Source organism: Homo sapiens, chromosome 21, assembly GCF_000001405.40.
Source record: "Homo sapiens chromosome 21, GRCh38.p14 Primary Assembly".
In the NCBI taxonomy this organism is placed as follows: domain Eukaryota; kingdom Metazoa; phylum Chordata; class Mammalia; order Primates; family Hominidae; genus Homo; species Homo sapiens.
Genome location: NC_000021.9, coordinates 33,170,951 through 33,196,231, shown reverse-complemented (window position 1 = coordinate 33,196,231; position 25,281 = coordinate 33,170,951). Strand labels below are relative to the sequence as shown.

Genomic DNA, 25,281 nt, shown 5'->3' with positions numbered 1-25,281 from the left:
GTGAGTACTTGGGAACGTGAGAGAGTGTTTCCTACTTTTCTCATGGTGAGAGTTGACAAGATGTGAGGTTTGGAGCCTGTGTTGTAGAATTCAAGGTCATCAAAAAAGGCAGGTCTTGTGGCTCTGCTTGAGGCATGAGTTAAAACTTTTCTTATCATCCTGATCAAATACAGTTGTAGGAGTTGTCGCAGGGAGATTAGCACCCTTTCTCCAGTTCATCTTGGACAGGTGGTTTTTATTATTCTTGTATTTGGTTTTTATCCTCTTTCTTTCAGAGCTAAGGGAGACTCATCAGAATGGATGGTTTCTGAAATAGGAATCTATTCAAGATTTAGGAATATAGAATTTTTATTTTTTAAAACACATTACATTTCATTACACTGTCCAATGATATAACAGAACCACAGACTTTTCTGGTTGTGTCCTGCTCTTTATTTTTACCTGGATCCAAGCTTTCTTCAATGATTCTCTCTCTCTCTCTTTTTCTTTTTCTTTCTTTTTTTTTTTTTCTTTTTTGAGTTGGAGTCTTGCTCTGTCACCCAGGCTGGAGTACAGTGGTGTGATCTTGGCTCACTGCAACCTCCGCCTCCTGGGTTCAAGTGATTCTCGTGCCTCAGCCTCCTGAGTAGCTAGGATTACAGGTGTATGCTACAATGCCTGATAAACTTTTGTATTTTTTGGTAGAGACTGGATTTCACCATGTTGCCCAGGCTGGTCTCAAACTTCTGGCTTCAAACTATCTGCCTGCCTCAGCCTCCCAAAGTGCTGGGATTACAGGCGTGAGCACCGTGCCCTGCCTCTCTTCAAGGACTCTCTTTGCTACATCGGCATCACCTGGGAACGTGGTAGGGCTACAGAATCTTGGGCCCCACCTTGGACCTACCTAATCGTCATCTTATTCATTGGTGTTCCCTTCGCCAGGTGAGTTTTGCACTGACTAAAACACACAGATCTATCAGGTGAGTCGAAATGGCAATACTCATTTACCTTAGTTCTGCCTTTATTTTACTTTCAGTGTTTTATCCTTGTCCATGGAGTCACTCTCATTCATGCAGTTCCACAAATATTTTTTAAGGCCCACTCTGTGGCAGACATAATACAAAGGGCTGAGAATAAAGATGAAAAAAATCATTTACTCAAAGTATGTAGTATGTCATCCAATGATAAGTTATGGAGGAAAAGGCAGGCTAAGGGGGCCGGGAGTGTGGGAAAAGGGTGCAGTGGTATACAGAGTGATCAGCGAAGCCTTCTCCCAGGAAGGGGCCTCTGAGCAGAGAAGGGGAGGACAGAAGGAAAAGTCACGTGGAGGGCTCAGGGAACTACCTCCTCTGCCCTCCAAAGCCACTAGCGAATCGCTGTGTGCGAGGGTTGCCACATTTAGCAAAAATACAAGATACCTAGTTGCATTTGAATTTCAGATCAACCTTGAATATGTGTTGGGTATAACATACTAACTTTTTTTCTTTTTCTTTTTCCTTTTTTTTTTTGTTTTGAGACAGAATCTCACTCTGTTGCCCAGGCTGGAGTGCCGTGGTGCGATCTCGGCTCACTGCATCCTCCGCCTCCCTGGTTCAAGAGATTCTCTTGCCTCAGCCTCCTGAGTAGCTGGGATTACAGGCACCTGCCACCATACCCAGCTAATTTTTGTATTTTTAGTAGAGACAGGGTTTCGCCATGTTGGCCAGGCTGGTCTTGAACTCCTGACCTCAGGTGATCCGGCCGCCTCGGCCTCCCAAAATGCTGGGATTACAGGCGTGAGCACCGTGCCTGGCCTAACTTTTAATATTAAAATACACATATATAAAATTTAGTACATATACTAGTACATAGTACATGTACTAAATTATATTGTAATGTTTTTAGTATGTCCCATACAATATTTACGACATATTTATTTATACTAAACAAATTCATTGTTTATCAGAAATTAAAATTTAACTGGGCATCCCATATCTGTGTGACCCTCTGTGTGACCGATGGCTTGTGGACCAGACCATGAGCTTGGGGAATGTCCTTCTCAGCAGGACCACCATTTCCCTTCTCAGTCAACCCTCACCTTGTTCCCTAGGCTCTGGGCAGGGTCACCTTGAAGGCGGCCATCTGTGGCCTTGTGTTAACTCCACAGGTGACACCTGGATTCTGTAGTCAGATAAGAATGTGCGCCTGTCTTCTATAGCCAGCTAAGCATTTCCTAAACTAAACACTCCTAAAAAGTCTTCTCTAGTGAACAAAACACATCTTAGAATCCTCCAGGAATATACTCCATTGTGAATGGATCACAGTGGGGAAAAAAAGTGAATTGTTCCTTTGTCCATCTAATGTTTGGGAGAAACTCATGATTTATTTTGCAGCCAAACGCACACGCAATCCAGTTTGCAGTTTTCCAAAGGCTATTTCTGATGTGGGATGTGTGGCTCCTCCCACCTCTTCCTGGTATAATCTATAGCGTAACATCTGTGTGTCTATGCTAAGAGTCAAGCCATTAACCTCTGAATTTATTTATTTATTCGAGATGGAGTTTTGCTCTAGTCGCCCAGGCTAGAGTGGAATGGTGCCATTTCTGGTCACTGCAACCTCCGCCTCCCGGGTTCAAATGATTTTCCTGCCTCAGCTTCCCAAGTAGCTGGGATTACAGGCATGCACCACCATGCCTGGCTAATTTTGTGTTTTTAGCAGAGATGGGGTTTCACCTTGTTGGCCAGGCTGGTCTTGAACTCCTGACCTCAAGTGATTCACCTGCCTTGGCCTCCCGAAGTGCTGGCATTACGGGTGTGAGCCACCACACCTGGCCTAACCTCCGAAATTTAAACAAGGGGAGAGTCTCCTCTCCATTTATTATTTTCGTAAACCATAACTACTTGCAGGTTTGTACCTACTGTAATAACAACAAAGCTATGTCAACTTTTAGTAATTGGCCTCTTGTAATGCCCAAGCTTGAAGGGAAGGTCCTGGAACTCAAAGCTTTTGTGTTTTCCAATCAGGGAAATGATGACTGTAAACAAACTACCAGACTTAGCCAAGGTAGCCCAATGGGCTGATTCGCCACCTGCTCTTATAATTCCAAACATCTTCCATCACAAGTTAAAAATTAGTGACGCCCAACACAGCAAACTTTAGTTATGTCTTCTTCTTCTTCTTCTTCCTCTTCCTCCTCTTCCTCTTCCTCTTCCTCTTCTCCTTCTCCTTCTCCTTCTTCTTCTTTTTGAGACAGAGTCTGGCTCTGTCACCCAGGCTGGAGTGCAATGGCATGATCTTGGCTCACTTCAATCTCAGCCTCCTGGGTTCATGCAATTCTTGTGCCTCAGCCTCCCGAGTAGCTGAGATTACAGGCACCTGCCACCACGCCCAGCTAATTTTTGTAATTTTAGTAGAGACGGAGTTTCAACATGTTGGTCAGGCTGGTCTTGAACTCCTGGCCTCAGGTGATCCACTCGCATTGGCCTCCTAAAGTGCTGGAATTACAGGCGTTGAGCCACCATGCCAGGCCTTAGTTATGTTTCATAATAACAAGAAGACAGTCTTATGGAAGGTTACAGCTGACCTTAGGGATAGAGTGTCCCCTTTGATGACTTGGGACCTCCCCTCATGGCAGCAGAGACAACCGGCTGGTTGCAATGAGTCTGTAGGTCCTGAACTGAAAGTGTGACAGGTTTCTAGGGCAGGCCTGGAGTGAACCAAATGATAGGATAAATATTGCAGAAATATTTTGTGCAAGTAAAATCAACACTGTGGACTCAGCTTTGAAACTGTTTAAAAATATTTTTGCACGCTAAATTTAAAAAATTTATTTGTGTTGCCCCCTGCTTTATTGAGGTATAATTGACAAGTAAAATTGAATATATTTAAGGTGTAGAATGTAATGACTTGAAATACCTAAACATTGTAAGATGCTTACCACAATCAAATTAATGAATGTATTTATAATTACCTTTTTGTGTATGTGTGTGTATGGTGAGAATAATTACGATCTACTCTTTTGGCAAATTTCAAGTGTACTATACATTGTAATTAACTATAGTCACCATGCTATACATTAAGTCTCCAGACAAAACAGTTTTAAACACATTATTCTAAAGTATCCCTGGAGCTAATAATTTTTCCTAAGTAATTGGAATACACTTTGTCTTTGTTTCTTATGCTCTATTTTCAGTAAGAAAGTGTGAAGGCCTATTTGAAAATACATTAAGTTGCTGTTTAAATTAATTTGCGGCTCTATTAGAGGTATAAAAGAAGATTTTCAACTTGTTTTCTGCTGTTCTCTAAGCTAGTGGAAGCATATTTGTTGAAGTAGCTGGAATTCAATTTTTAAAACTATTTTTGAAATTTGGAATAATAAAATAAATTGTAGTGTGCGTGTGTGTTACATTTGTATTTTTCACATTTTATAGACTTTTCTACCTATTAGTTATGATTTGGATTTGTAAAACTTGTGCCCTGTGTTAGAAACCTCAGATGATAATAATAAAGTAAAATGCTCATAAAAGTGAAGAATAAGAAAACTTACTGTTAAAATGTGAAGAAAACCAACCAACCAAACAACCAAGCAACCAACCAACCAATGAACCAGCCAACCAACCAAGCAACCAACCAACCAAGCAATCAACGAACCAACCAACCAACCAACCAACCAACCAACCAACCAACCAACGAACCAACGAACCAAGCAAGCAACAAAGCAAGCAAGCAACCAACCAACCAACCAAGCAACCAACCAACCAACCAACCAAGCAACCAAACAACCAACCAACCAACCAACCAAGCAACCAAGCAACCAATCAAGCAACCAACCAACCAACCAACCAAGCAACCAACCAAGCAACCAACCAAGCAAGCAACGAAGCAAGCAACCAAGCAACCAATGAAGCAAGCAACCAAGCAACCAATGAAGCAAGCAACCAAGCAAGCAAGCAACCAACCAACCAAGCAACCAACCAACCAACCAGCCAAGCAAGCAAGCAAGCAAGCAAGCAAGCAAGCAAGCAAGCAACCAACCAACCAACCAAGCAACCAAGCAAACAACCAAGCAACCAGCCAACCAAGCAACCAAGCAACCAACCAAGCAACCAACGAACCAACCAACCAAGCAACCAGTCAACCAATAAGTAAATTAAAAAAAAAAACAGTTGCATTTTGACTACTCACTGAGATTTATCAGAATGAACTTGAAATAATGTAACATAAAAGTAAATTCTTTAAACATAAAATTTAAGTATTAATATTGATAGTGATATTAATTTTTTGTTTATATAATTTTCACATTAAAAGAACTTGGAAGTGAAATTATATATAATTCCACATGAAGTATAGAAGTTGTGTTACATATTTATAGCAGTTTTTTTAAAAAATATAATTGTTTTCCTGTTACCAAGGTCATCCCTACACATTGTAGGAAATTTAGGACATAGAGATTAGTGAAAAGAAGAAAATACAAATCACAGGTAACCAGAAAGGCAGAGAGAATCTCTGTGAATTTTTGTGTACACCTTTCCAGTCCTTTTATCTGTGTATATATATTTTTTAAAAATGGTATTGCCCTGATTCTTTCAAAACTGACATTTAATTTGTGTGTAATATGAGGAAGGGATGAAACTGGAATGGAGAGGAAGATGAGATTCTGCAATGACTCTGATAATAACAGACGAAACAAAGAACTTCTAGTCTCATGGAAAGCAAGTGACATTGTTCTCTGCTGCTTTTATGTGTGCCAGACCAATAGCCCATGACTCCCTGAAATTTTCAGCGTCAGAGTCATATATGTTTGTGTGACTTAAAGGCACATTTCCACATGATCAGCTTTTGTTTTTTAGCTGTGATTAGTTTCAGAAACAGCTGAATTTCCATATTTGACATATTTGAACTTTATAAGTTAATCACGTGGATTTAGTAGTTAAGACTCTAGCACATTTTCCTCTCTGATTTTAGCAGACGAAAGCACTTGTCAGGAAACGTCTAGCTTCAAATCTTCTGTGTCGGAGGTGTGTACGATGAAGCAGAAACAGAAGTCAACTGCAGTAATTTTACTCCCAAGCCGGAGGCCAGCGTGAGAACCAACTAGGTTAAAATCCAGATAAAACTAATTGTGCAGCAAAAAAAAAACTTAAAAAGAAACAAACCTCATTTGTGCAATCCCTGAAAATAAACAGTTAGAAAACAGTGAGAACATGAGACTCCAGATAACAAATGTACTTATGCTTCATTATCAGAAAGATTCACAGTGGGGCACAGGCAGGAGCCAGCATTAAAATAATAAGAACAAAAATAGCTGTGCGTCTCAGCAGGTTGTGTTACCATATTGTACTCAACATGAAGATATTAATTTCACAGTTTTCATAGATAAGTTTAAACACAGGAACCTGTCACAAATAAGCAGTAATCTCAGTGAGGATACATCAGCTGGGATTTCACAGTCTGCAATTTTTAAATTCAGCTGGATCCCAAAAGGCCAATCAATATTGGTGGCAATTATTCTTAGTATACAGTCTAAATGAAATGGGTGTGTTTTTTTCTTTTTTATCAAGGTGGGAGATTGTGATATAGAAGTAAGCAAATTCCCTTGTGGTTGGCAATTGGGCTGCCTAACAGCTGCAGCAAGTCTGCTGTAGATCTCTTTTTCCCGTTTCTCGGGAATAGTACAATAATGACCACATTATTTTAACCCTTAAACGTGAGCAATGTTTGATAGCTAGCTGGGAAAAACCTAGCATGTGTTAAACAAAGCGGGTATGAAAAAAAAAATAAACAAACCAGGAGAGGCTCCCAAAGCAGCTGCCTGGGAACATCACTTTCTACACAGGTTTTATTTACATTCTTTGGTTTCTAAGCCACAACCTCTTGAGGGCCAATGCTTGGGACACAGGTATGTTCTCATGAGGCAGAGTCAGTTTATATTCCAGAGGGAGAGGCAATGAAAACCTTTTTTTCTGTTGTTAAAAAAAATTTCTGAAAGCCAGATACTAAATTATGCAAATCCCTCAATTTTATTCTTTGAAAAGCCTGGTTTTCTTTTTCTAAATTTTTGTCTGTTTGCGGGGTGGTTGGGGATTGGGAGGTATATTGAAGGTTGACAATGAGGAATAGAAAATCAGAGGAGAATCGAAACTCAAAATGATAGTTCAAGTTCCTTTTCCTGGTGGGGCTCAAGTTTAAGTTAGATTGAGCTAACCTTGGGGGATTTGGCTAGTAACACTAGCAAACCCAAGTCATCCATGGAGAGAAGGGACTGAAAAATGCACTGATACAACAAATTAGGATTGATGTGTGTTCCAGTTTCTTAATCTTTGATGTGGGGCTTCTTTTGTCTTCAGCCTGATGCTAAATTGGGCTTTTCATCCAATTTTACTTTTACCTAATTAATTATTTAAAATGCCAGTGTGCCCGAAATATAAAATTTCCATGTCATTTTATGTTCACTAATAACAAAACAAATCAAAACTATGTGCTCTGTGTCTACTAGTGTTTTCAAACCACCAGTTCTCCTAAGTAAATGCTACAAGAAATGAAAAAATTCTGGAAAAGAGCCAAAGATGTGAGCAGAAAAGCCCCATTATAAAAATAGCCTATTGGCCAGGTGTGGTGGTGGCTCACGCCTGTAATCCCAGCACTTTGGAAGGCTGAGGTGAACGGATTGCTTGAGCCTAGGAGTTTGAAACCAGCCTGGGCAACATGGTGAGACCCTATCTCTAGAAAAAAATACAAAATTTAGCCGGGTGTGGTGGCACAAGCCTGCAGTCCCAGCTACTTGGGGGGCTGAGGTGGGAGGATCATCTGAGCCTGGGGAGGTGGAGGCTGCAGTGAGCCGAGATCACGCCACTTCACTCCAGCCTGGGTGACAGAGCGAGACCCTGTCTCAAAAAAAAAAAAAAGCCTATAGTTTTACACATACAGCAGCCCATTGGCTACCTTGGAAATATGGACTTTTCCTCATGGAATTTGGTTATTTTTCTCTTATTTTGATGAAAACTAGAATGAATCAAACGGTAATTTTAGGAGAGTTTTGAGGTCATAAAAATCTATTTGCACTTTGAAAGTTCCAGGTACATGTAGATCATTACCTATAAATTGCAGGGAGCTCCAGGAGACAGGTGGGGAAGAATGTATGAACAGAACTGACTGCTTTGAATTTAAGATGGTATTATGTTGGTGCAAAAGTAACTGTAGTTTTTGCCATTACATTAAAAAAAAAAAAGACAAAAACTGCAATTAGTTTTGCACCAACCTAATATTTAATCATTTCCTGCCTAAAAATGGGGACATAAATGAAATATTCATTGACTTTTAATTCTGTACTGCCTTTTTGTTAATCACAGTTCTTTCTATTGCTTTGAGAGAGTGGATCAAAGTTGACTGGAATTAGTGTTTGGAAGTCAATATTCTAAAGCTGAAAAATACCTTGTCTTCTTCCCCTCCTCCCTCACTTTAAAAATGGTTTAGAATAAAGGCTCCTGATTGCAATAGCGATTTGTGGTTAATATCATTAGACTTCTGGTTTGGAATAATGCTGCTAATTAGTTTCTGTCCTAGACTTTTTCTAATTAAAGCCTAGAGAGGCCTTGGTCCTAAACACCTGGGCAGATTACCTAATTAGATGAAAGAAACATACATAGTCGTTCACAGGTAATTATTCTAACTTTCACTGCTTGTGGAATACTAAACATGTGACAAAAATGGTGTTCTTTCTACCCTGTGAACTGCAAAATATCATCTCCCTGGCACAGAAATTGGTACTGGCACTGTCTTCTAAATAGACAGCTTTGAATCCTTTTTTAATGTGAATACATGCAGAAAGTGACAGATTTAGTTTTTTCCTCCTAGACGTAGGAGAAAACACACACACTAGTTGCTCCTCTGCCGTCTCCCACATGTTCTTTTGAGGAGGATGTTCCCTTTGATAAGCCAAGCAGAACTTGGACTCTCTTTGGTGCGCCATGCTCTTGGGCATTCATTTATATACTCATATATACATTTATATATATTCACATATATATAAATATATACATTTATATATATTCACATATATATAAATATATACATTTATATATATTCACATATATATAAATATATACATTTATATATATTCACATATATATAATATATATTCACATATATATAATATATATAAATATATATATTTATATAACATGAATATATTCAGTCAATGAATATTTCATTTATGTCCCCATTTTTAGGCAGGAAATAATTAAATATTAGGTTGGTGCAAAACTAATTGCAGTTTTTGTCATTTAAAAAAAATGTAATGGCAAAAACTACAGTTACTTTTGCACCAACATAATACCATCTTAAATTCAATAGCAGTCAGTTCTGTTCACACATTCTTCCCCACCTGTCTCCTGGAGCTCCCTGCAATTGTTTGTCCCAGTGCTAGACGTTGTCAGGGTGGCCTCCTGAAGATGGGGCATCTTCTCTTCTTTAGAATTTAGAATTGAAAGCCCAACCTCTGTGTCTGTGTTCTTACAAAAGGAAAAGGATGAAAATCTCTGGGATCCTTTCAGCCATAAGCCTGGCTGCATGGATCATTCTCAGCTCACCCAGCACGGGAAGAGTCAGGCCCAGGTGGAGCTGAACAGGAGGTGCTTGCACTGAATCCACCTGGGACCTGGAGAATATTTTACCCTTTGGGGGACACACTGGAAGGTTGTGACAATGGTCTTAGCCAGTCTGTGTAACCTCAATTGCTGTAGACCAGCCCAAGGGCACCACTGGCCCTTCCCTAAGCATGTCCTGTCCTTCCCTACTTTGGTCTTGGCTCTTACTAATTCTCTCTCAGTCCCATCTTCTGTTACATCTTCATCTCTTGAAGTCCTGTCTCTCCTTTGAGGCCCAACCCCTGTGGCATCCCTTCTCCAAAGCCTTTTCTAGAATTCCCCATTGGTTTCATTTCTTTCCCTTTCCTTGAAGCCTGTTAGCTTTGTGCACCTCTCTCACAAGCCTTATGGTGTCTATTTTGTATTAGCGTTATTTGAGGTCCTATCTTAGCTCTCTGGTGATATTATCAGCCACTTCATTCATTTGCTCAGCAAACATTCACTGAGCGTGTGATATGTGCTTGACACATCTAGCCTGATATATCAGCGCCTACTCTTCTAGGTGCTGAAGATTCAGTGACAGGAAAACATACTTCCTTCCTGCATCGAGCTTACAACCCAACAGGAAGGAGAGCAGACCAAAAACAAGAGAGCACATCAATACATGCGATAAGGTCATGTAGTGATAACAGCTGCTAGAAGGAAATCACGTACTAGATAGGAAGTGATGGGGGGCCCGAGGTAGAGAATAATGCATACTCATTAGCCCAGCACTGTTCTCATCATCTGTATCTATTAATTTGTCTAATTCTCACAACCACTCCATGCATATGGTACCCCTACTGATCCCACTTCAGAAAGAAGTAGTTGAGTCCCAGAGTGGTTAGGACACTTGCCCAAGCTCACACAGCTGGTCAATAGCAGAGCTGTGCCCTCCTCTGAGCCCCTGCTTGCAGCCAGCACACGCACTCTGAGATTGCCTGGTCACCCTTTGTTCTTCTCATCATGGCCACAACAGTGGCAACACAGCAGAAGTTCTAGCACTGACTGTGGGGTCTGGCAACCATGGGATGAACTGTAAGGGCCTCAGAGCAACCCTGGGTCCCTGGCTGCAGAGCTCCTGTGGCACAATTTAGGTGGTGCTCGTGGCTGCAGAGTTGCTGTTCTGGTTATCTATTACCATGTAAGCAATCACCCCAAAACTTAGGAGCTCAAACCAGGATCAACATTCGTTTTGCTTTTGAAAGTATAATTTGTGCAGGGTTTGGCAGGGACAATCATTTCTGCTCCACTCACCATTGGTTGAGTGGCTTGAAGGCTGGGGGCTAGGATCATCTGAGGCCTGCTTGCTCATGTGGCTGGTGGTTGATGCTGGCTCTTGGCTGTGACCTTAGCTGGGGCCATGGCCAGACACCTCGATGTGGTTTTCCCATGGGGCTGCCTGGCTTCCTCACAACATGGAGGCGAGGTCCCAAGGGAGAACATTGAGAGAGGGAAGGAAGGAAAGAGAGAGAGAGAGACAGAGAGACAGAGAAGAGAGAGACAGAGAGACACATGCAGAGAGAGGGAGACAGAGAGACAGAGAGATATACAGACACAGAGAGAAGGAGAGAGAAAAAGAGAGAAAGAGAGAGTCAGGCAGAAGTTGTATCACCTGGAAATGATAGAGCATCTCTACCGCCATGTGCTATTCATTAAGAGAGAGTCACTAAGGCTAGCCCATATTCAAGGAGGGGTGGCGATTAGACTCCTCCTTCCATGAGGGGACTGTCTAAGAAGTTTTGCTTATGTTTTAGAACCAGTACAGTGGCACACTCAGTTCCTCACCTTTCCCAGAGCTTCTATGAGCTGACTAATACTTAAAAAAAATAAATTCCTCTTAGGTTTCAGATATCTGGAGTCTGAAGTGGTTTCTATTACCTTTTTTTTTTGAGACTAGTCTCACTCTGTCACCCAGGCTGGAGTGCAGTGGCATGATCTTGGCTCACTGCAACCTCCGCCTCTTGGGTTCAAGTGATTCTCATGCCTCAGCCACCCGAATAGCTGAGACTACAAGTGTGCACTACATGCCTGGCTAATTTATTTTTATTTTTATTTTTAGTAGAGATGGGGTTTCGCCATGTTGGCCAAGCTGGTCTCGATCTCCGGGCCTCAAGAGATCCACCCACCTTGGCCTTCCAAAGTGCTGGGATTACTCTGTTGTCTTACATGAAGAAGTAAGGGTGGGGTCAGGCTGCCCACTCACGTCCGTCTGATTCCAAAATCTGTTCTCCAAATCCTACCTTACTCATCTCCTGGAGGGCACAAGAATAGAGCTCTCATGGCTGATGCATTCATTCATGCAACCAACAAAAACTCAAATGTGTAGCGAGCATTTCCCATTTGTTGGGGCCTGAGGATGCAACAGCAGACACACTTCTCTGCGTGACTTTTACAGCCTGGTGAGAGGTACCACAGGCAGCAAGGCCGTTACCATGCAGGGTGATGAGAACTGAAATAAGGACATGTCGGGAGCACGGGAAGTGCACGTAACCCACGGGAGTCAGGAGATTGGGAAGGTGTCCCAGGGAAGTGACATCAACTCTGGGGCTTGAAGAGTGGGTTTGAATGAATTAGGCCAGTGGTGGTGGTGGAAGAATGTTCCAGCCGAGAGAGCAGGATGTGCAAAGGCCCTGAGCCTGCTCCATTACAGGAGTGAGTGAGTTGTGTCTGGCTGGGACACTGTGGGTGGAGCAAGAGGGAGACAGAGACACGAGGCTGAAGAGGTGCGTTAGGGGCAGGTCGCGTAGGGCCTTTGGTAGCCTTGTCACCTAATTAAGGACAACCACAATATTGGACATTAGACCTACTTGAGGGTAGAGGTGGAATAATTTGGTAAAGGCAGGGACTCACATTTAAACTCTGAGCATCCAAATAATTACATCAGAATATCATTCAGAAACTGCCTTTGCTGATACCCATTTGTTCATTTCACAAGTATTTATCGAGTGCCAACTGCATGCCAGGCAAATCCTAGCAGAATCTGATGAAAAGGACAGATAGCATGGTAGTATTTATTTTTCTGTGACCTGTAAGGAGAATGTTGCTGGCTTCACAGTCATGCTGTGGTCAGGAGAAGATGCCAAATTAATGCCAGCAGTGCAGTGAAAAGTGCTAGCTGACCTGAGACACAGACGTGGTGCCCTCCAGCTAGTCAGGGAACTTAACCTTGGTTATGAATGGGCAAAACCAACTGGCTGCCTTCCTGTCATGGAAGCACAAAAGCAACAGGCATTTCTTTTTACCAGAGGGGAGCAACAAACAAGTGTCCCATTAGCTTTTTGGATTGATAGTCTGGCAGAAGCAGACGGAGATGAAATCTCTGCTTGATTGAAGCCATGTGAGAAATGGAGAGGGGCTAACGATGCATGTGGACCTGTAGCCAGACCACCTCTGATGGTGGTTTCCAGACTCCATCCATTCAGTGTTAGGGACGTCTATAAGTTACCGCACGCAGGGAGCTGTAGGGGAGAACTGGGCCACTCAACCCTGGTTTGCACAGTTGTGTGCATTGATTCTGCATCAACAATTTCAGAAATAAGTTAAAATTTAAAACTCATGCTCTAAAGTTTCATTGATCTAGATCAACATGGCAAGTGACTCTGTTCCAATGCTTGAGGACAAGGCAAGTGGGTGGGAGAGTGAGAGGCTGAGAAACTTGGGCATCTCCACCACACAGGAGATGATGTCCTTGTGTCTCAACTTGTGGCCCACCTGAGACTCCACTGTGATCACCTCCAGTGAATACAAAGTAGATCATTAACCTGTGACCCGAATGACACAGTGTAAAGACGTCATCAAAATAGACAATGGATGTGAAATAAGATTGATGGCCTACATAAAGGTCAGTGCTGTTATGATCTCTTTTCATATTTGGCCAATCATCAGAGGATTTGAAGGGATAAGGTGGAATGCAGGAGTACATAGATTCGCTTTACTGGTTTCAAGAGACTGGATATATTTCATGATTAAGACTTATGATCTTTGGTGAAGAAGGTTTGACTTCAGAGATTGTAAATGAGATAGCCAAGAAGCAAACTGACATTTAAAGATTACAAGATTTTGGTTGGGTGCAGTGGCTCATGCCTATAATCCCATCACTTTGGGAGGCCGAGATGGAAGGATTGCTTGAGCCCAGGAGTTCAAGACCAGCCTGGGCAACATAGGGAGACCTCATCTCTACAAAAAAAAAAAAAAAAAAAAAAAAAAAAATTAACCAGGTCTGGTGGTGTGCACCTGTGATCCTAGCTACTTGGGAGGCTGAGGTGGGAGGATTGCTTAAGCTGGGGAGGTCGTGGCTGCAGTGAGCTGTGATGGTGCCACTGCACTTAAGCCTGGATGACAGAGCAAGACCCTATCTCAAAACAAAACAAAACAAAACAAAACAAGATTTCACATACAGTTAGAGATTTGTAACTTCTTTTGAAAGATTGCAAGATCTAGCTCAGTTACAGCATGGGACAACAGCTAGAGCAGCAGCCACCCACTCCTGGTAAGCCTCAGCCCCACCTGCCTTGGATGGGGCTCCCTGAGAAGTTGGCTGTGAGATGGGATTTACAGTCAGGAGTTTCTTGGGGACTGGTCTCAGGATCAACACAGGTAATGTGAATGAAGAAAGAAGGATTGGATGGAGAAGCTGAACTGCAGTGCAGTGGATCTGTCACAACCAAGGGTTTAGCCCATCCCACAGGAGCTAGGATGGTCTTTTGAAGTTGTCCTGCCTCAAGGAAGGAGCCATATCAATCATCATTGGATGTGGGTTGCCCCCAGGAGGGGGAAGTTGTTGGGCAAGGTGGCTATTTCCAGAGGAGGGCGATTCCCAGGGAACGTCCCCAGCGAGAGCTGTCAGCAACCACACTCCCAGCAGCAGAGGGAAGGATGTCCCCGTCCTGCCAGGGGAGGTGGGCAGCATCACCGCATCCACTACACTGCCACTCCCACTGCCTCCCTGAGCCTGAAGCCAAGTGTCACTTGTCATTTGTAGCTGCCCTTGCGCGGTTATCTTCTTTTTTTCTCTTTTCTTTTTAAAAATTTTTTTAAAAATTCAAAACTTTTGCTTATTATTATTTTTTTTAAATTTCTGAGATTTTTTTTTGATTTCTGAGATTTTGGTGCACCCATTACCAGAGCAGTGTACACTGTACCCAATGTATAGTCTTTTCTTCCTCAACCCCGTGCTACCATTTCCCCTGAGTCCCCAAAGTCCACTGTATCATTCTTATGCCTTCGCATCCTCATAGCTTAGCTCCCACTTATGAGTGAGAACATACAATGTTTGGTTTTCCATTCCTGAGTTACTTCGTTTAGAATAATAGTCTCAAATTCCATCCAGGTTGCTGTGAATGCCACTATTTTGTTCCTTTTTGTGGCTGAGTAGTATTCCACAGTGTGTGTGTGTGTATACACCATGGAATATAAATATAAATATAAACATAAATATTATATATAAAAAATATATAATGTGGTATATATATTTATACATATATATGTATAAATATGTATACACCACATTTTCTTTATCCACTCATTGATTGTTGGGCATTTGGGCTGGTTCCATATTTTCCATATCTTAACAATTGCAAATTATGTCTTCTGGTAGAAATAATTTCTCTTTTACTTATGAGTCTAGCAAAAGTGAGAGTAAAACACCCAGGGAGGGCTGCCTGTCTCAACAAAAATGGGAAAGACACATTTCCTTTGGGATGTGAAGAATATTCATTCCTATGTGATTGCTTTGCAGACATTTCTGCTCTCTTCACTCATTTATATGTATGTACCAGGCCCAATGGCTCCTGGTCCCGCTCAATCCTACCCCAGGGTCACACACCGGAATCATGGCTCCTGGTCCTGCTCAATCCGTCCCCAGGGTCACACACCAAATTATGGTTCCTGGTCCTGCTCAATCCTTCCCCAGGGTCACACACCGGAATTATCACTCCTGGTCCTGCTCACTCCTGGTCCTGCTCAATCCCTTCCCAGCGTCACACACTGGAATTGTGGCTCCTGGTCCTGCTCAATCCCTTCCCAGTGTCACATACGGGAATCATGGCTCCTGGTCCTGCTCAATCCCTCCCCAGGGTCACACACCAAATTATGGCTCCTGGTCCTGCTCAGTCCTTCCCCAGGGTCACACACTGGAATCATGGCTCCTGGTCCTGCTCAATCCCTCCCCAGGACCACACAGCAGAATTCTTACAGGGGCCGTCTTTGTTGGGGTGTATAACAGAGTACCATAGACCGGATAGTTATAAAGAACAGAAACATATTTCTCACAGTTCTGGATGGTGGAAGTCTGAGAGCAGGATGCCAGCGTTGCTGGGGGCTGGTGAGGCCCTCTTCTGAGTTGTACACTTGTCTTCTCATGGTAGGAAGAGGGTGAGAGACTTTCTGGAGTCCCCTTTTCAAGGGCACTAATCCCATTCCTGAGGGCTCCCCCCTCATCACCTAATCACCTTCCAAAGGCACCACCTCCTAATAGCATCACATTGGGGGCTAGGATTTCACCATATGCATTTTGTAGGGGACACAGAGCCTGCAGCAGCAATTCACCGCCTTCAAAGGGTCTGTGGTTTCTTTTGGTTTTCCTGGTATGATCCTGTGTTAGTTCTTGGAGTAAAATTTGACGATGTGGGTCTTCATGCACTGCTCTGTCCATCCGAGTGGGAGCTGCAAGTTAGTCCTGCCTCCTATCTGCCATTTTCCTCTATCATAATAAGCATTTTTAATCAACACTGTTGAGCTGTTTAGTTGCATCCATCCTATCAATGAGAAATCAAGTTTATGTCCTATTATGGTTTGAATGTTTTCGTCTCCTCTAAAATTCATGTTGAAATTTAATCCCCAATGTAAGAATTGGGAGGTCTGGGCTTTGGATGGTGATTCTGTGTGGACCTATGTTCTCATTTCTCTTGAATATATTTCTAGGAGTAGAATTGCTGGCAACTCTATGTTTAATTGTTTGAGGAATTGCCAAACTATTTTACAGAAGTGCTTTCAGCAAGAGAGTGACATGACCTGATTTTCCTTTTAATTCTGACTGCTCTGTGCAGAATGGGTGGGGTTGGGGCAAGAAAGGAAGACAAATTGGGATGCTGTTGACATATGCAGGTGAGAGGGGATCCTCGCTTGGGTTAGTAGGAGGATAAGCATAGATGGGTGGGTGGGAGATTTATTTTGGGAGGGAATTGACAGGACTTGGTTCTGACTGGATGGCTATTGGTGGTCTTTGAGAGTAGGAGAGGTTCAGATGTCCCTTGATTTCTGGGGTGAGCAAGTGGGTGGATCAAGTTACTTTCTGGCCTTTCTCTCCTTTATCCTCCATTTTTGCCAGGGAAAGGAAGTTCTAGAGGTTGGAATAGATTCAGCTATTTTAACAAAGTATTTTCTTTCCTTTTTTTTTTTTTTTGAGACAGAATCTTGCTCTGTCGCCCAGGCTGGAGTGTAGTGGTGTGATCTTGGCTCACTGCAACCTTTGCCTCCCAGGTTCAAGCGATTCTCCTGCCTCAGCATCCCGAGTAGCTGGGATTGCAGGCACCTGCCACCATGCCTGGCTAATTTTTCTATTTTTAGTAGAGACAAGGTTTCACCATGTTGGCCACGCTGGTCACGAACTTCTGACGTCAGGTGATCCACCTGCCTTGGCCTCCCAAAGTGCTGGGATTACAGGCATGAGCCATTGCACCCGACCAGCAAAATATTTTCTAGGCCATCCTGTGTGTTTCATGCTGGATCTCGTCGTCATGTCCTTAATAAATCACTTACACATGAATCCTTGTCTCAGGGTGGCTTCTGGGAATTCTCCCTGAGACACTTCTCTTTCAAGTTTCAGAATCAGTTATCCATCTGTCCACTTGTCATGCACACTAGGTCCTACAGTCATCACATGCCCCCAGAAAAATTCCAGATCGTATTTGCCAGGTCTGCTCCAAGTTATGCACAATAGTAAGAAAATAATACAGTGAATCCTCACACACTCATTTCTAGATCCAAGAATTATAGAAATCTCAGCATACATGAGGGAGCTTTGTAGGGTGAAGGAAATATCCTATATCTTGGCTGTGGTTTTGGTCATATAACTGTATGCATTTGTCAAAACTAATCAAACTTTAAATGGGTGAACTTTATTGTATGTAAACCTCAATAGGCCTGATTTAAAAACAAATCTTGTTACATGTTTTATTTATCTCTTTTCTTGTTTTGTTTGCTTGTTTGTTTGTTTGTGTTTTTGAGTTAGGGTCTAACTCTGTAGCCCAGGCTGGAATGCAGTGGTGTGATCATGGCTCACTGCAGCCTCGACAGCCCTGGGCTCAGGTGATCCTCCCACCTCGGAATACCCCCTCTTTTACCCCCCAGTAGCTGAAACTACAGACATGTGCAACCATGCCAGGTCATTTTTTTTTTTTCCTGCTTCGGCCTCCGAAAGTACTGGGGTTACAGGTGTGAGCCACCATGCCTGGCCCATTTATCCCTTTTCAATATGCTGAAGTACCTTAAAGTAAGTCCCCAAAATCATGTCATTAAATCTCTACACATTTCAGTACATATTAATAGCTCTAAAAATGGTTACTATTTTCTTATGTAACCATAATACAGTTATTATGCCTCTCAAAGTGCACACTATTTCTTTGGTAATATACTAGATGTAATATTCAGTCCATAATAAAATTTACTTACTTGACTCCAAAGTGTCTCTTTATTGTTGGTTGGCACAAATCAGGATTTGAGCAGGTTCTCCCCATGGCATTTTGTTGTTATATCTTGTAAGTGTTATTAAATCTACCGCAGTCTCCATTATTTTCTCTTTTAATCCCCCTTCCCTTGGTTTGTTGCAGAGACCAGGTCGATTGTCTTGGAGAATGTCCCACATTCAGCATTTGTCTGCATGCTTCCTTATGGTGCCATGCTCTTGTCCCTCTATTCCAAGTGAGTGGAAGTTAGCTGGAGAAGTTTGACTAAATTCAGGATCAAGTTTTTGTGACAAGAATATTTCCTAGCTGGTGCTATGTGCATTTGCATGGCATCAGGAGGCAGATGATATCTAGTTGGAAACAAGACTTTGGATTTTACAAGCTATGCTTTTGTAAGGAAAGGAACACATTTAAAGGTAAGAAGGTGATAAGTGTTATGGGGTAAAATGCTGCAGGGTAGGGGGCTGGGAGTGCTGGGCAGAAGATGTTACAATTTTGAATAGGGAAGTTGAGGCAGATCTCACTGAGAAGGTGTAATAGGCCACTCTTGTACTGCTATGAAGAAACACCTGAGACTGGGTAATTTATAAAGAAAAGAGGTTTAATTGGCTCACTGTTCCGCAGGCTGTGCAAGAAGCATAGCGATTTCTGTTTCTGGGGAGGCCTCAGGAAACTTACAATCATGGTGGGAAGAGAAGGGGAAGCAGGCACATCTTACAGCTGGAGCAGGAGGAAGAGAGAGGGAAGGAGGGACTATACACCTTTTATTTATTTTTTTTTTTTTTTGAGACGGAGTCTCGCTCTTTCGCCCAGACCAGAGTGCAGTGGCGCTATCTCGGCTCACTGCAAGCTCCACCTCCTGGGTTCACGCCATTCTCCTGCCTCAGCCTCCCGAGTGTCTGGGACTACAGGCGCCCGCCACCGCGCCCGGCTAATTTTTTGTATTTTTAGTAGACACGGGGTTTCACCGTGTTAGCCAGGATGGTCTCGATCTCCTGACCTCGTGATCGGCCCGCCTCGGCCTCCCAAAGTGCTGGGATTACAGGCGTGAGCCACCGCGCCTGGCCGGATGTACTATACACTTTTAAACAACCAGATCTCACAAGAGCTCACTCACCATCAACACAGTACCAAGTGGGGAAATCCACCCCCATGATCTAATTACCTCCCACCAGGCCCCACCTTCCCTACACTGGGAATTACAAATTGACATGAGATTTGGGCAGGAACACAGATCCAAATCATGTCCAAAGGTGATGTCTGAGCAAAGACATGGGGGAGCTGAGGGAGTGAGCCAGGAGGATATCTGGGGATTCAGGAGGATATCTGGGGATTCAGGAGGATATCTGGGGATATCTGGGGAGGACAGAGTTAGTGCAAAGGCCCTGCATATTTGAGGAACACAGAATGGGGAGTGGGGCTGGCATGCATGGAATGGAGCAGCTAGAGGGGAAGTTGAGCTGAAGGTCCCAGAAGGATGGACAGGGGTAGATGGTGTAGGGCCTCGGAGCATTGTAGACTTTGACTTCGACTCTGAATGTTATAGAGGAGCCCCTGGAGGGTTCAGGGTTCAGAGCAGGGAGCTGACTTGATCTGACTTGGGTTTTTAAGGAGCTTTTTGACTGCTGTGCAAAGAAGAGACTGTGTAGGGCTGGGAGACAGAGCGAGGCGACTGTGAGAATCCAGGCGGCACACAATGGGGGCCCTGCCGGAGGTGCTGGCAACGGAGGTGTGAGAAGCAGTCATATTCTGGATATATTTAGAAGTTTAGGATTTGCCGACAGATTGGATGTGAGGTAAAAGGGAGAGAGAGTGGAGTTAAAGATGCCTCCAAGGTTTTAGCCTGAGCCACAGCTGCCAATCAGTGAGGTGGGAAAGACTACAGTGACATTTTAGGTACCATCTGCTAGTCCTGCAATGTCACGACCTGCTTGGTTGTCCGCAGGTGGGTTTATTGCTTTTCATTTCTACCAAAAAGTCCTGTCCATTCCAGCCTTTCGCAGAACTTCTCACTGAGAGCCCTGGCTCTAATCCTACTGAAAAATCAGCTACTTTTTTTTTCCTTCCAGCTTTACTGAGGTGTAATTGACAAATAAAAATTGTATATATTTAAGATGTACAACATGATGTTTTGATATATGTATATATCATGAAATGATTACCACAATCCAGCTAATTAGCATATCCGTCACTCATATGGTTACTTTTTGTGTGTGTGGTGAGAACACTTAAGATCTTAAGTGTTCTACTGTCTTAGCAATTTCAGGTATATAACACGTTATTGTTAATTATAGTCACCATGCTGTATGTTAGGTCTGCGGAACTTGTTCATCTTATACCTGCAAGGCTGTACTCTTCGACCAACATCTCCCCATTTCCCCCGAGTCCTGGGAATCACCATTCTATTCTGCTTCTATGTATTTGACTGTTTTGGATTCCATATATAAATAATATCATGCAGTATTTTTCTTTCCGTGTCTGGCTTATGTCATTTAGCACCAGGTCCTCCAGGTTCATCCAAGTTGTCACAAATGGCAGGATCTCCTTTTTGAAGGCTGAATGATATTCCATTGTAATTTATGGAAAACAGTATGGACGTTCCTCAAAAAATTAAAGAAAGAACTACCACATGGTCCCGCAGTCTCTCTTCTGGTATATATACCTAAAGGACATGAAATCAGTGCCTCAAAGAGATATCTGCACTCATATTCATTGCAGTATAACTCACAGTTGCCCAGATATGGAGATAATCAGCTGCTTTCCAGAAGGTTAATGTTTGGTTTGTCCATGGAGATCTCCCTCAGGGGTCATTCGTTTTGAGTGCTTGTTTAGGAGATGGAGAAAGTGTTTTTAGAAAAGGGTGGAAGATGAAAAACATTCTGAAATATACGACTAGATAGAGATTCTTTCAGAATGAATGCTGGGTAAACCACTATTTATATTCATAAGCTTTCAGTACAGTCGATGGCTGGTAATTGGGAGATGGGAGGGATTTCTCAATGGATGGATGACCTTGGTTACATCACGTGACCTTCCCAGGCATCAGTTTTTATCACCTTAAAGTGGAAATCATACAGTAGTTATCTGGGTGAGCAGAGATGAGGATTACATGAGATAACCCATATTTGTACTCAATAAATGGTTATTATAATTGGCAAAATAAGGATATTATTTTGTGTGACTTTTCCCACCTTTCACCATAAAAATGGCTGCTCCCATATATGTATATGAGTATATCCATACATGTATACATACACACACACACACATATATATATATACACACACATATACATGTAACCTTGAGGTAGGTTCTGGCTCTGTTGCCCAGGCTGGGGTGTAGTGGCATGATCTCAGCTCACTGAAGTCTCTGCGTCCTGGGCTTAAGTGATCTTCCCACCTTAGCCTCCTGAGTAGCTGGGACTACAGGTGCACACCACCACGCCTGGCTAATTTTTGTATTATTTTAGGAAGAGATGGGTTCTTGCCACGTTGCCCAGGCTGGTCTCGAATTCCTGGGCTCGAGTGATCCTCCCACCTCCACCTCCCAAAGAGCTGAGATTACAGGTGTGAGCCACCTCGCCCAGCCTAGACATATGTATTTTTTAATGTGTATTTTTTAAATACATATGTATTTTTAAACTACTTTTAATTTTAGGTCCATCCTTTAGAGTTGCGCTCTCTCTTCTTAAATCGCTTCTGTTTCAGCGATAATATGTATGCTATTTTTGCCTTAATTCCAGCATGTCCCACTCCAAACATATTATACTAATTGCATTGCATTTCCAAGGTCATTTTGGAATGCCTCTGGAAATACAGCCTCAGCATTTGCAGAATGGTTTTGCTTGCTTGCTCAAAGGCCAGGCTAAAGATGGGTTATGTGACATTGCAGTGCATTTCCTGAAAATCCACGGATGATCTCTGACAGGACAGCTTGATCTTTCCGATAGCATTTGGAAGCCCATTAAAATGTTCAAGCATGCTGGTTTATTTTACCGTTCAGATGAAATGGCATTTATTTGAATATTACTTAGTAAATATTTAGAGACTTAGTTGTGTTTTGAAATTAGAATTGAAGTTTAAATTTCTAGGTACATTAAATTGCTTTTACAACAGAATTTCTAAATGGCACAGGAAAGACAGAATAAAAATCTTAACAAGTGGCTAAAACTGAAAGCATCCTACAAACCCAAACATGGAAGATGCTTTTTTTTTTTTTTTTTTTTTTGAGACGAAGTCTTGCTCTGTCACTAGGCTGGAGTGCAGTGGCGCGATCTCAGCTCACTGCAACCTCTGCCTCCCGGTTTCAAGTGATTCCCCTGCCTCAGTCTCTGGAGTAGCTGGGACTACAGGCGCGCGCCACCATGCCTGGCTAATTTTTTTCTATTTTAGTAGAGACGGGGTTTCACCATGTTGGCCAGGATGGTCTCGATCGCCTGACCTCGTGATCCGCCTGCCTCGGCCTCTCAAAGTGCTGGGATTACAGGCGTGAGCCACCTTGCCCGGCCAGAAGATGTTTTTTTTAACAAGAAAACAGCATCATCAAAAGTAAGGGCATATACATTTACCCCCTCTGCCTCACATTTTGTGCAAGACTACTTGAAGTAATGGAATTTTGCTAGAAATTTCTTGTTAATGTCTTCCCTTACATTCTGCAAAATGTTCCCAAGAACTGCTGAAATACTGTTAGGATTGTTGACTACTTTTTTTTCTTTGTAATCAGTTTCTATTGAAGAAGAGTCATTGAATTAGCGGGGTAATTTACTATCACTCATTTTTGGCAGCCTTGAGCGTGTATTTGCAGAACCACGAGATAACGGCAAAGAAAGTCCTTGGACACAGGCTCTGTGAGCATCACATCTCTCCAACTGGACCCGTGGGCGCTGCAGTGAGCATATATGTCCTAAAGGGATATGGCACCAACCTTGTGAATTGTTTGCTTGTGTTTTTCTAACATTTCTACTACTTAGTTTCAATTACATTTTTCCTAGCATGGAGTAATAAAAACCTTTTATAAAGGACAATTTCAAGCATATTTTTGAAAATTAATTTCAAAAGTAGACAGTATAGTTTTATGAATTTCTATGTCCCCACTAGCCAGTTCCAACAATTATTCCCACACAGCTGGTCTTGTCTCATCTATAATCCCAGTCTGCTAAGGTATTTTGAAGCAAATCCAGACTTTATATTATTCTATCCATAAGTATCTTAGAAGATAAAAGAAAATGACTTTTAAAAAACAATAACAATGTAGAACAAAGGACATTTATTTTGGATCCTGGCTTGTGGATGGGAGATAATTCCAGAATTATTTTGTCACTATTTACTTGCTACCTGGGCTGTGCTTGCCCCATTCAACAAAAGAGTGTACATTAGCTATTCTGTTTCTATGCTCTGGTCCTGTATTTTGAAAAGAGGGTTTATGTATTCAACAGATATTTGCTAATTCCTACTACAAGCCAGGACTGTGCTATGCACTGGGGATTCAGAGATAAAACACCCAAACTGGGAGAGAATCAGAAAAATCAGCCTCAATACAAACATAAATATAAATACAGCCTGATCCACTTTATGGCAGTGTTAAGTACAGGTTGTTTTGTGTCTGAGATGTATTTCTTTCTCTTGCCCACAATTTAAAAAGCCACCTTGATTGTGATTACATTTCAAGTGTTAATTAGGAATCAATTTAGGCCATATAATATGTAGCCTATTTTAGGTATCTAAGGTTTATCAGAAATTAACTCATTAACTAACGAAGATGCCTTTATCAGCGCCTGCAACTCCAGTGAAACAGTTTGAATTGTTTCCCTTCAATTTCCTCCCCAACTCTGCACTCACTGCTCTGATTTGGTAGCGGAAACACATCAAATGAGTTCTGTTCTTGCAAGTGAGGAAGGGACAAGAGAGGGGACACAAGATGAAAGGCAGGGAGGAGGAGAGTCTCCCAATCTCAACCTCTGGGAGTTTCACGCTTATCATCTGGGGTCCAGTTGGCATGCGGCCAGTGGGCGGTGGCAGCGGCCTCCTTGGGGCAGGAGTTCCTCACTCTTTTTCCTCCATTTGTCTCCTTGGGTCCCTGGCACCTGCTGAGTGAGAAGCCCAGATCTGTATTAGAAGCTGCTGCTCTCTGGCCCAAGAAGGGCAGCGGCCTCTGGATTAGGGAATGGAGGGATGGCTGTTCCCGGGATCACCCCTCTCCCTCTGCCTGTGTGCAGCCTTGTGTGCTCAACCCTGCACCCCAGGGGCCCTCAGACTACTATCATGAGGCCCAGGCCTTGAGCTGCAGAGCTGGTTAATTAGCGCTGGAGCCCAGGAAGCCCCATCTGTTCCCAGCACTTGTGTTGCTCTGATCTCTCCATTTCCCTGACTCCCAGGCCAGGGAGAGTTCTTGTCCTCCTACCCTGCAATCCCTGGAGATGCGCTCCCCCCAACCGCAGCCCAAAGTGCCTTTTCATGGGGCTGTAAGGCAGCTGTCACGAGGTAAATCCCACTCTTTACCCCGCCAGCAGGACAGGTAGGGACAGGTGGGAGGAATACGGGAGGAAACAGCTCCCACTGGTGACTGCCGGACCCTCTCCTCGCTGGCCGCAGACCCTGGAGCCACTTCCCTACCGTATCCAGAGCAGGCCCAGCCCCCGACAAAGGGACCTTTATATGGTGGTCCTGGAATTTTAGTTGGGTTCCCGTAAATGCAGACCCTGACAAGGTCTTGGGCACAGGAGGTTTATCTGAGGGGACTCCAGGAAGCAGGAGTCAGGGAGAAGGAAGCAGGAAACAGAAGTAGACGTCATTACTGAGATTGCTGCTGGAGGCAACAGGGGTCTTGAAGGTAAGAAACATGTCCTTACGGGAGAAGCTGCCTTGGTGGGTTTGGAAAGTGTGAAGAGTTCGCAGGCGTGCTCATCATCAACTAAGTGGACAGGTGAAAGCTGGAGGGGCTCTGCAGAAGCCCTGAGTTGCACTAAAATCTGTACTAATCCAAATAGTGGGTCTAGATTCCCTCTCCTACTCAAA

At 43.0% G+C, this 25,281-nt stretch overlaps 1 long non-coding RNA gene across 2 annotated transcripts; it reads left to right on the top strand.

Moving 5' to 3' along the window:
- The first annotated feature begins 714 nt into the window (after positions 1-714).
- LOC105372787 (uncharacterized) lies at positions 715-23,291 on the top strand. Of its 2 annotated transcripts, none has more exons than XR_937675.3 (3): positions 715-921; positions 18,413-18,684; positions 23,052-23,291. It is a non-coding gene; the product is annotated as an uncharacterized LOC105372787 (long non-coding RNA). The 2 variants fall into 2 exon arrangements; XR_937676.2 differs by lacking the exon at positions 23,052-23,291 and adding an exon at positions 19,880-20,207.
- The last annotated feature ends 1,990 nt before the right edge of the window (positions 23,292-25,281 follow it).